Source organism: Homo sapiens, chromosome 7, assembly GCF_000001405.40.
Source record: "Homo sapiens chromosome 7, GRCh38.p14 Primary Assembly".
In the NCBI taxonomy this organism is placed as follows: domain Eukaryota; kingdom Metazoa; phylum Chordata; class Mammalia; order Primates; family Hominidae; genus Homo; species Homo sapiens.
This window is the reverse complement of record NC_000007.14, coordinates 64,657,337-64,669,428: the sequence shown is the minus strand read 5'-3', so window position 1 is coordinate 64,669,428 and position 12,092 is coordinate 64,657,337. Positions and strand designations below refer to the sequence as shown.

The 12,092-nt window shown below is 42.4% G+C and overlaps 1 protein-coding gene across 9 annotated transcripts in view, besides 3 other annotated features; it reads right to left on the bottom strand.

The window, feature by feature from the left end:
• Positions 1-3,296, bottom strand: part of ZNF107 (zinc finger protein 107) — a 45,445-nt gene extending 42,149 nt beyond the window's left edge. For 4 of the 9 annotated variants that reach the window (NR_104148.2, NM_016220.5, NM_001388025.1 and 1 more), the window contains exons 1-2: positions 3,144-3,296; positions 251-392 (exon numbers count right to left, since the gene is read on the bottom strand). Coding sequence is in view for 4 of the 9 variants with exons in the window: in NM_001388026.1 (NP_001374955.1) it covers positions 251-268 (18 nt within the window). In the remaining 5 variants the exon portion in view is untranslated. Of the gene's footprint in view, positions 1-250; positions 393-3,143 lie in introns of those variants that run through there. The other 5 variants (NR_104149.2, NM_001013746.3, NM_001282359.2 and 2 more) reach the window with 2 other exon arrangements.
• Positions 2,969-3,088: an enhancer, noted in NCBI's record as "active region_26062". NCBI's record gives its function as "activates an Ori minimal core promoter by ATAC-STARR-seq in GM12878 lymphoblastoid cells {active_cell/tissue: GM12878}" and the evidence as "EXISTENCE:reporter gene assay evidence [ECO:0000049][PMID:35858748]".
• Positions 3,109-3,258: an enhancer, noted in NCBI's record as "active region_26061". NCBI's record gives its function as "activates an Ori minimal core promoter by ATAC-STARR-seq in GM12878 lymphoblastoid cells {active_cell/tissue: GM12878}" and the evidence as "EXISTENCE:reporter gene assay evidence [ECO:0000049][PMID:35858748]".
• Positions 3,409-3,558: an enhancer, noted in NCBI's record as "active region_26060". NCBI's record gives its function as "activates an Ori minimal core promoter by ATAC-STARR-seq in GM12878 lymphoblastoid cells {active_cell/tissue: GM12878}" and the evidence as "EXISTENCE:reporter gene assay evidence [ECO:0000049][PMID:35858748]".

Below are 12,092 nucleotides of genomic sequence, written 5' to 3'. Positions count from 1 at the left end.
TTATTCTATTATTTTCATTAAAAATTAGGTAGTAATCAATTAGTCATATGGGATTAGTAATCAAGAAGTCATACTTCTAGGAGGTACCAACTTTCATCTCATAAAATTTAGCATTAACCAGCTGGGTGCAGTGGCTCATGCCTGTAATCCCTTGGGAGACCAAGGCAGGCAGATCACTTGAGGTCAGGAGTTCAAGGCCAGCCTGCCCAACATGGTGAAACCCCGTGTCTAATAAAACTACAAAAATTACCTGGGCATGGTGGTGCATGCCTGTAATCCCAGCTACTTGCGAGGTTGAGGCAGGAGAATTGCTTGAGCCCGGAAGGCGGAGGTTTCAGTGAGCCGAGATCGCACCACTGCCCTTCAGCCTGAGCAACAGAGCGAGACTCCATCTCAAAAAAAAAAAAAAAAAAAAAAAAAAAAAAAAAAAATTAGCGTTATCCTCACAAATCAAGATGATAGGATATAGAACAGAGGTATTTACTGTAACAAAAGTACCCTGCAAAAAGAGGAACTGATGCTTTCATAAATCTATGTAACTCATCAATTATCTACCACATTTTCTTGTAAAAATGTATTCATTTTCTACAGTCAAAATGGAAGAGAGGTTTTTTTCCTTTTTGTTTCCCTGCTAGCACTCTAAAAACTAAGCCTTGGAATACCGTTGGACATCACCCAGCCATAAAAAACACACCTGAGTAAATTCCTAAACTAAGTCTGGGAAAGAAAAAGGTAAATGAGAATTCTTAATAAATGGAATATATGATTAGATATTATTTTTCTCTGAAACTCACCTCTTTTATGCTCTGTAAATATTTTCTTAACTTTTAAATCATACTAATAAAATGCAAGTTACAGTTATAAAACTGAAATCAAAATAAGTGAACAAATCTTTTCAAGGTGACAAACCCAGGGAGTGGCGGGGCTGATTAGAAAACAGATGTGTCTGATGAGTTCATGGCCTTTGCAGGGACATGGATAAAGCTGGAAACCATCGTTCTCAGCAAGGACAAAAAACCAAACACCGCATGTTCTCACTTATAGGTGGGAATTGAACAATGAGAACACATGGACACAGGAAGGGGAACATCACACACTGGGGCCTGCTGTGGGGTGGGGGGAGGGGGGAGGGATAGCATTAGGAGATATACCTAATGCTAAATGACGAGTTACTGGGTGCAGCACACCAACAGGGCACATGTGTACATATGTAACAAACCTGCACGTTATGCACATGTACCCTAAAACTTAAAGTATAATAATAATAAAAAAAAAGAAAACAGATGTGTCTGACTCATGTGTCAAGTCAGGCCACCCAAACACTAGATTCTCCTACCCCATCCTGCTCATTTAAGTGCCCAATGACCACCCTCTCTGTAGACACTGCCCTATGCCTCAGTGACTACTCCAAGTGCATTTCATTTTGCAAGTTCTTGTACCATCTCACTGGGGTCAAGTTTGATTTTTTTTTTTTTTTGTCTTCTGGAATACTATTTTTTCTTTCACAAATCTTAGAGAATCCAGGGGGCAGAAATTATTTCTGAGTTTTCCTCTCAATACCAGCATCTGATTGGCTGACCAGCAATGTACCTCTGAGAAATGGAAGTCGGGTTGAGTGAACACAATCTTAATGCCTCAAAGGGTTAGCTTTCCAAAGGAAGGGTATACCAGGAGATTCCTCTCAGCCCCAGGGCATCCACCTGCTCCCTTGAGAGGCTACACTCCAACCTCAGATTGTCCTCTGTCTCCCATTCCCAGATACCCAGAGTTCCATTCCAGGCCAGGAGCTGAAATTTACTAGAGATTCTAGCATACACAGCCACAGTTGATATCTTGATTTATCCCCAGACAGTACTGAAACCCAGGACCAGGAGAAAACCGAAAGGTGGCTGAGGACACATCACCCTGTAAAGTTTCCAAAGGGAAACCTTGACCCAAAAACATTCTGATAAGATCTCTGCGCCTAGGGAAGATAAAAGGAAAATAGGCACAGACTTTTTTTTACAATACAGTGTCAGGGGATTATTTTTTGTTTTCTTCTCATTGGAAATATTTTCAAACAGCAAACAATTTGTTTAAAGTGCCACCCAATAATTTGTCAACAATGATTAATTAAAATACAGTATCTAAAATGTACACTAAAGGACAAATAGTTGATAATGTGAATTAGGGAGGGGAAGCTGGGATTTGGGAATGTCAAAGGAAACTGGAAATTTAGCATTTTACTGAAAGTCAGTTAGGCTAAAAGAATGGGGAATAGGGAGTAGTCTTGAGACCCTGCTTGAGACACGTGAAAGTTGCAGGGGAAAATCTGTCCCCTGTGGAGTGTGAAAATAACTAAATGGCAGGCAATTAGACTGAGGTGGCTCTAGTCCCAGGGTTTTTACTTTTTAAAAAATCTAACTCAAATGCTTTTTTTTTGTAAATTACTACATTGGGGAAAACAAAATTTAGACTTAATCAACCATGAACTGCCAATTAAGCTCTGATTACGTGACCAGAAAATTTCCACCTTCATCTAAAACTAAGAAACTACGTAACTCTACCTAACCAATTATTGAGTTTGCTTTCCTTTATCATGCACCTTCTAAAAGTCTTTTCTTCAAGCCCCTCCCATGGAAAATAAACTACAAACCACAGCTGGGTGCTCTATAATTCTTCAATTACTCTTTGATTAAATTCTTTAACATTTTTGTGGTGACTTCCATAGATTTTTAAGAGAAAAAAGATGGACTAGGAACCCCACAGACTAAAGCTTTTCCCATTCATGAACCCCGCATCCCGAGTCAGGATTCTCCCCTGATGACCCTCCCGGCATCCCTGCACAATCGGGGAGAGATGCCGCGCTGCGGGTGCAAAGCCGCCCGGAGAGGGCTCCAGGCCAGGGCACAGTCACTGAGCAGGGAGGAGACAGGACGCCCAGGGTCCCGGCTGTCAGCCCAGCCGCCATCTTACGGCTGAAGGGGACTGAGGACCGAGCTGCGCCAAGGAGAACTCGGGGCCGCGGGGGACTGAGGGCCGAGCTGCGCCAAGGAGAACTTGGGGCCGCGGACTTTGGAGGCCCGAGTCCAGCCACAGCCACTTCCGATCGGTTCCAACCAGCCCCTCCCCCTCTCTCGGGATGTCGGACCCAGCACTCTCACCATTTCTAGGTTTCCAGGGAGTCCCGGCGTCTTAGCTGTGGATCTCCCAATATCTGCAGGTCACAGGGACACAGAGGCTGGGCCTCTAGGAGCAGAGGACACTGAGCAGTGAGGAGGAGAGCAGGAGCTCCGGCTGCAGCCAGAGACAAAGGCCCCGCCAAATCCCGGAAGCCGTCCTGTCCGCTCCAGCTGCGTGCCTGATTGGACGGTTCCCAGCCCAGCAGTCCTGATTGGATAACGTTTGCTGCCCTGCTCCCTCAGGCCCTGAGTGACAGAAGCTGTGCTCAGATGCTGGGCTGGAAGAAGATAAAGTGAAACCTAAGCTGCAGCCTTTTCAGGCAGGGCTCCTCCCTGAGTTGAGCCAGGTCCACCCCAGAAGGCATTTGCATTTAACCTGTATATAAAGTCATATGCATTTATAAATAATATATTATGTGGCTATTCACACATGAAAATAATATAACAATTATTTTAAAATTCCAGATTTTATGCCCTTTCTGAATTCTGGTCCTTTGAGCAGGCCGATTGAGAGTTTAAAAAGGAGGCAATCCTCTGAAATAAAACGTGAGCCACATGTGTATTCTAAATTTTCTAGCAGTCAAACTTCAAGAAGGAAGAAGAAGGCCAGGCGCGGTGGCTCACGCCTGTAATCCCAGCACTTTGGGAGGCCGTGGTGGGCGGATCACGAGGTCAGGAGATCGAGACCATCCTGGCTAACACGGTGAAACCCCGTCTCTACTAAAAATACAAAAAATTAGCCCGGCGCGGTGGCGGGGGCCTGTAGTCCCAGCTACTCGGGAGGCTGAGGCAGGAGAATGGTGTGAACCCAGGAGGCAGAGCTTGCAGTGAACCGAGATAGTGCCACTGCACTCCAGCCTGGACGACGGAGTGAGACTCCGTCTCAAAAAAAAAAAAAAAAAAAAAGGAAGGAAGAAGAAACAGGTGGAATTCATTCTAACCATTTAATTAACCCACTATATCAAAAATATTATATTAATATCTGAGCAATATGTAATTATTAATAAAGTGTGTATATTTTTGGAACTAAATCTTTAACTCTGTATTTTACCTTTCTAGCACATCGCAGTTCTGACCAGCCACATTCCGGACACCCAGTAGCCATACATGGCCAATAGCTGTCACATTAAAGTGCAGCTTTGACAACAGGGGTTTGAAGGGCCTGAACATTCCTTTTCTGCCAGAGGTGAGGGAAGAGCCTCTCCCTACCAACATCTCTCTTCAGTTCTGAGGTGGAACAGACCGTGGCCATAAAAAGAGCAGAGGACAGCAGGAATAAAATAACCTAAGGTTGTTAAGAATTAATGTAATTAATATGTATATAATTAAAACTACTAGATGTATGAAAAACAATTCTGCATAGAGAATGTATAAACAAAAGTAAAATATGCTTTTAAGGAAGAAAGTTAGAAACATTTTATCTAGTTTGAAATTACTTAATGATTGTTTCAAATTGAAAAAAGAAAAAACCAAAAATATAATATAAAAAGTTGAAAAATTTATTATAATAGACTATAAAATATTTATGAAAATCTACAGTAGCCAAAAATGACACATTTGATGGATTTATTTATAAGGTTTTATTAAAGTTAGCTTTAGTATTAATAATACAGTAATACAAAAGTAAAAGTTGATTTTCTTTTGAACAAAAATTTTACATATCAATATGACATAGTACAATATTTTTGTCCACCTTTTGAATAAATTTTAAAATAAAGAAAGTAAAAAAGAGAATTTTTCTCATGCAGTCTTTCTCAGGTTTTTTGACTGGAAAACTGAATCTCCTGTATCAAACAGTAAATGATTTTGTTTTTAAAATCTTTTAATTATCACTTTGGATAAATAAATGACTATTATTTTATGGTGATCTGTGGTCCTATTTTAGTGAAGTGTTTTAACCCTATGACATATTTGACAGGCTTCCCAACATCAAATTTTGCTTTAAAAGTGTCTTTTTTTTACACCCCAAACTTTTGGATGCTATAGAGTGTCAATGCAGCATGCAAAAGAGTGATAAACAGGCAGGGGGAGGCGGGCAGATCACCAGGTCAAGAGATGGAGACCATCCTGGCCAACATGATGAAACCCTGTCTCTACTAAAAATACAAAAATTAACTGGGCATGGTGGTGAGCGCCTGTAATCTGAGCTACTCAGGAGGCTGAGGCTGGAGAATGGAGAATGGCTTGAACCTGGGAGGCAGAGGTTGCAGTGAGCCAAGATCGCTCCATTGCACTCCCACCTGGGCAACAAGAGCAAAACTTCGACTGAAAAAAAAAAAAGTTAACTTACATGGAAGCATTATCAAAATAAAAATAATGTTTGCCAGGCGTGGTAGCTTATGCCTGTAATCCCAGGACTTTGGGAGGCTGAGGCAGATGGATCACCTGAGGTCAGGAATTCAAGACCAGCCTTGCCAACATGGCAAAACCCTGTCTCTACTAAAAATACAAAAATTAAGCCAGACGTGGTGGTGGGTGCCTGTAATCCCAGCAACTCAGGAGGCTGAGGCAGGAGAATCGCTTGAATCCAGGAGGCAGAGGTTCCAGTGAGCTGAGATTGTGACATTACTCTCTAGCCTGGGTGACAGAGCGAGATTCTGTCTTAAAACTATATATATATATTTGACCTCCTTCGACTTATATTTTAATAAATATGTTATTAATATTTATGTCAAAATTGTATGAAATTTCTAAAACTCTAATGTATCTGAGTATACGCTCTTATTCATAATTATGGTTATTATGATAAATTATTGTAGGCAACAGATATAATCAATTTCTTTTAATTTGTTTCTTTATAACCATGAAAGTCATTTCCACAGTTAATGGCTTAATTCTGATGTAGTTTCTAAAAACTTTAAAAGCATGAAAAATCCTAGAGTACTGTGTATTCAAGGAGGTTCATGAAAAGATGGAAAAGGCCCAGATGAGTTGAGCACAGATTTCTGATAACGTTAGAATTATATTGTTTGAATTAGGTAAAGATTGTGAGAATTTGGCCAGGCACGGTGGCTCATGCCTGTAGTTCCAGCACCTTGCATTTCTGTGGGATCAGTCGTGATATCCCCTTTATCATTTTTTATTTCAACTATTTGATTCTTCTCTCTTTTCTTCTTCATTAGTCTGGCTAGCAGCCTATCGATTTTGTTGATCTTTTCAAAAACACCAGTTCCTGGATTCATTGATTTTTTGAAGGGTTTTTTGTGTCTCTATTTCCTTCAGTTCTGCTCTGATCTTAATTATTTCTTGTCTTCTGCTAGCTTTTGAATTTGTTTGCTCTTGCTTCTCTAGTACTTTTAATTTTGAGGTTAGGGTGTTGATTTTACATCTTTCCTGCTTTCTCTTGTGGGCATTTAGTGCTATAAATTTCCCTCTACACACTGCTTTAAATGTGTTCCAGAGATTCTGGTACATCGTGTCTTTGTTCTCATTGGTTTCAAAGAACATCTTTATTTCTGCCTTCATTTCGTTATTTACCCAGTAGTCATTTAGGAGCAGGTTGTTCAGTTTCCATGTAGTTGAGCGCTTTTGAGTGAGTTTCTTAATCCTGAGTTCTAATTTGATTGCACTGTGGTCTGAGAGACTGTTTGTTGTGATTTCCATTCTTTTGTATTTGCTGAGGAGTGCTTTACTTCCAATAATGTGGTCAATTTTAGAATAAGTGCAATGAGGTGCTGAGAAGAATGTATATTCTGTTGATTTAGGGTGGAGAGTTCTGTAGATGTCTTTTAGGTCCACTTGGTCCAGAGCTGAGTTCAAGGCCTGAATATCCTTGTTAATTTTCTGTCTCGTTGACCTGTCTAATATTGACAGCAGGGTGTTAAAGTCTCCCACTATTATTGTGTGGGAGTCTAAATCTCTTTGTAGGTCTCTAAGAACTTGCTTTATGAATCTGGGTGCTCCTGTATTGGGTGCATTTATATTTGGGATAGTTAGCTCTTCTTGATGCATCGATCCCTTTACCATTACGTAATGGCCTTCTTTGTCTCTTTTGATCTTTGGTGGTTTCAAGTCTGTTTTATCAGAGATTAGGATTGCAACTCCTGCTTTTTTTTGCTTTCCATTTGCTTGGTAAATATTCCTCCATCCCTTTATTTTGAGCCTACGTGTGTCTTTGCACGTGAGATGGGCCTCCTGAATACAGCACACTGATGGGTCTTGACTCTTTATCCAATTTGCCAGTCTGTGTCTTTTAATTGGCGCATTTAGCCCATTCACATTTAAGGTTAATATTGTTATATGTGAATTTGATTCTGTCATTATGATGCTAGCTGGTTATTTTGCCCATTAGTTGATGCAGTTTCTTCATAGTGTCGATGGTCTTTACAATTTGGTATGTTTTTGCAGTGGCTGGTGCCTGTTGTTCCTTTCCATATTTAGTGCTTCCTTCAGGAGCTCTTGTAAGGCAGGCCTGGTGGTGACAAAATCTCTTAGCCTTTGTTTGTCTGTAAAGGATTTTCTTTCTCTTTCACTTATGAAGCTTAGTTTGGCTGGATATGAAATTCTGGGTTGAAAATTCTTTTCTTTAAGAATGTTGAATATTGACCCCCATTCTCTTTTGGCTTGTAGGGTTTCTGCAGAGAGATCCACTGTTAGTCTGATGGGCTTCCCTGTGTGTGTAACCCGACCTTTCTCTCTGGCTGCCCTTAACATTTTTTCCTTCATTTCAACCTTGGTGAATCTAACGATTATGCGTCTTCGGGTTGCTCTTCTCGAGGAGTATCTTTGTGGTGTTTTCCGTATTTCCTGAATTTGAATATTGGCCTATTTTGCTAGGTTGAGGAAGTTCTGGATAATCTCCTGAAAACTGTTTTCCGACTTGGTTCCATTCTTCCCGTTGCTTTCAGGTACACCAGTCAAATGTAGATTTGGTGTTTTCACATAGTCCCATATTTCTTAGAGGCTTTGTTCATTCCTTTTTTTATTCTTTTTTCTCTAATCTTGTCTACTTGCTCTATTTCAGTAAGTTGATCTTCAATCTCTGATATCCTTTCTTCTGATTGATTGATTCGGCTATTGATACTTGCGTAAGCTTCATGAAGTTCTTGTGCTGTGTTTTTCAGCTCCATCAGGTCATTTATGTTCTCTAAACTGGTTATTCTAGTTAGCAAATTGGCTAACCTTTTTTCAAGGTTCTTAGCTTCCTTCCATTGGGTTAGAACATGCTCCTTTAGCTCAAAGGAGTTTGTTATTACCCACTTTTTGAAGCCTACTTCTGTCAATTCATCAAACTCATTCTCTGTCCAGTTTTGTTCCCTTGCTGGCGAGGAGTTGTGATCCTTTGGAGGAGAAGAGGCGTTACAGTTTTTGGAATTTTCAGTCTTTTTACGCTAGTTTCTCCCCATCTTTGTGGATTTATCTACCTTTGGTCTTTGATGTTGGTGACCTTCGGATGGGGTCTCTGTGTGGACGTGCTAGTCCTTTCTGTTTGTTAGTTTTCCTTCTAACAGTCAGGCCCCTCTGCTGCAGGTCTGCTGGAGTTTGCTGGAGGGTCCACTCCAGACCCTGTTTGCCTGTGTATCACTAGAGGAGGCTACAGAACAGCAAAGATTGCTGCCTGTTCTTTCCTCTGGAAGCACCCAGAGGGGCAACTGCCAGATGCCAGCCAGAGCTCTCCTGTATGAGGTGTCTGTCAGCCCCTACTGGGAGGTGTCTCCCAGTCAGGATACATGGGGGTCAGGGACCCACATAAGGAGGCAGTCTGACCCTTAGCAGAGCTCAAACGCTGAGCTGGGAGGTCCTCTGCACCCTTCAAAGCCGTCAGGCAGGGATGTTTAAGTCTGCTGAAGCTGCGCTAAAATTTTTTAGTATGCCATTTGAATAAACTCTGCGGTCCAAGTCAAATCACCTATAAGAACCCCTCATTTATTTGTCCTATGCACCTAATTTGGAGACACAAACTTCGTACTTAAGAGGACATAAATTTAATGTTCAGTGTGGACCCATGAAGAACCTAGACAGCCAACAGCCAGTTGTTCATTCCTGAGTTCTTAAAGCTTCTATTATTAAAAAGCTGTGCATTCCATTATCATTATAGAAGAGATAAAATGATCTACATAAAATATAAATTAGGCTGGGTGCGGTGGCTTACGCCTGTATTCCCAGTACTTTGGGAGGCTGAGGTAGGTGGATCACGTGGTCAAAAGATCAAGACCATCCTGGCCAACATGGTGAAACCCCATCTCTACTAAAAATACAAAATTAGCCGGGTATAGTGGCACACGTCTGTAATCCCAGCTATTCAGGAGGCTGAGGCAGAAGAATCACTTGAACCCGGGAGGTGGAGGTTGCAGTGAGCCAAGATCACACCATTGCACTCCAGCCTGGGCAACAAGAGCGAAACTCCATCTCAAAAAAAAAAAAAAAGAAAGAAAAAGAAAAGAAAATAGTCACATCATCTACATGTTGAGGCCACACATATGTATATGTATTGATATGTATCAATAACCCTTGTGGGCAGGGACCAGACAGAAGAACCACATCACCTGTGTGCTGGGCTCTGTGATAAGTCACCCTTTATCTGTGGGTATGGCCCAGGTAGAAAAGGCAAGCCAAATCACCTGGTGCAGGGCCCAGAGATATGTCACAATGTCTTCTATAGGCAAAGGCCAGGGAACAGAGGAGAGTCACATCAAATAGTTGATGGACCCAGAGATATGTCACAATGTCCCTGTAATCAGGGTCTAGGTAAGAGACTCAAATCACCTTTGTTCTGGGCCCAGCAATATGTCACAATGCTTTCTCCATAGCTGTCATACAAAGAGGAGACCCAGGCTCTTACCTAATTCACTAAGCCTAGCTATGACAGTATCTCTTACATTGGCTGGCTTGTAGGAAGAGGATCGTCAGCTCTCCTGTGAGCTGGACCAAGATATATGTCATAATCCAGTAGAGAGCAAGCATGAGAGTCACATCACCTGGGTGCTGGGCAAGTGATATGTTACAGTCTTCCCTGAGGACAGGGACCAGGCAGGAGAGTCACATTAGCAGGAGAGTCACATTACCTGGGTGCTCAGGGAGGGATCTTATTTGACAATCCCCTCCTGAAAGCAAGGCACAGAATGCATAGTCACATCACATGGGTTCTGGGCCCAGTAATATCTTACGATGCTCAGTATGAGCAACACCCTCTCAGGAGAGGCAGATTACCTTAATGGTGGACCCAGCAATATGTCACAATCTTCTTTGTGGGCAGGATGCAGGAAGAACAAAAGTCACATCTTCTAGGTGATGGATGCAGGGAGATGTAAACAGTCCCTCTGTGGAAAGGGCCAAGGCAGAAGCCTCCAATTCTATAAATGTAGGGCCCAGTGATTTGTCACAATACCTAACATATGCAAAGCCCAGGCAAATAGGAGAGTTATATCACTTAGCTCCTGGGTCAAGTAATATGTCCCAATCCTCCCTTTTGACATGGCCCAGGCAGCAGAAGAAAGTGACATCACCTAGGTAATGAATAAAGAGATATGTCATAATACACCCGTGGACAGGGCCAAGGCAAGAGTCACATCACTTAGATGTTGGTCCCAGCCATATGTCAAAATACACAAAGTATACTGGACCCAGGAAGGAGAGGAGAGTCATGTCACCTAGGTTCTGGGCCCAGGCATACATCACAATCCCTACTTGGGCAGAGCCCAAGCAGTAGAAGGGAATTACATCACCTAGATACTGGGTCAAGAAATATGTCACGATACTTTCTGAGGGAAAGAATGAAGCAGGAGATTCACATCACCTAGGTGAGGGGCCCAGAGATATGTCACAATGACCTTTGTTAGTAGAGCTCAGGGAAAAAAAGTTACATAACACAGGTGCTGGTCCAAATGATATGTCACAATTCTAACCATAGATAGATCCCAGTAAGAAGAAAGTCAAATCATCTATAAGATGGGCCCAAAGATAAGTCAAAATTACCTCTGTGGGCAGGGACCAGGCAGAAGAATCACGTCACCTGTGTACTGGTGATAAGCCACTTTATTTTGTGGGCATGGCCCAGGTAAGAGAAGAGAGTCACATCACCTAGGTTCTCAGCCTAAAAATATGTCACAATCTCTTTTATGAGCAAAGCCAAGGTAAGAGAGGAGAATGACATCAAATAGTTGATGGGCTAGAAGACATGCCGCAATGCCACCTGTGGGCAGGGTTTACAGGGAGACTCACATCACCTTGGTGCTAGGTTCAGCAATATGTCACAATGCCTTTTGAGGGCAGGGCTGAGCAAAAGAGTAACTTCAGCTCTTTTTTTTTTTTGAGACGGAGTCTTGCTCTGTTGCCCAGGCTAAAGTGCAGTGGTGCAATCTCAGCTTACGCAAGCACCACCTCCCAGGTTCAAGCAATTCTCCTGCCTCAGCCTCCCAAGTAGCTGAGATTACAGGCACCTGCCACTGCGCCTGGCTAATTTTTTATTTTTGTAATTTTCAATTTTGTATTTTTAGTAGAGACAGGGTTTCACCATCTTGGCCAGGCTGGTCTGGAACTCCTGACCTCATGATCCACCCTCCTCAGCCTCCCAAAATGCTGGGATTACAGGCATGGGTCACCGCGCCCAGCCAGTAATGTCAGCTTTTTGTTGGGCCCAGCAATATGACACAATCTCCTCTCTTGGCAGGACCTAGGAAGACAAAAAGAGTCACATCAACTAAGTACTGGGCCCAGTGAAAGATCACAATCACCTCTGTTAGCAGGAAGAAGGCATAGTCACAACACCTGGGTAATGGGTGCAGCGATACATCACAATGCCCCCTGTAGGAAGAGCCCAGCAGCAACATAACACTGGTAATGGACCCAGCAGTATGTTACAATGGCCAAGGTGGCCAGGGCATGGCAGAAGAGTCACATAACTTGGGTGAAGGGCCAAGTTATATGTCACAACATTCTTCTGTGACCAGCACCAAGGCAGGAGAGGAGACTCAAATCCCCTGTGTGCAAAGC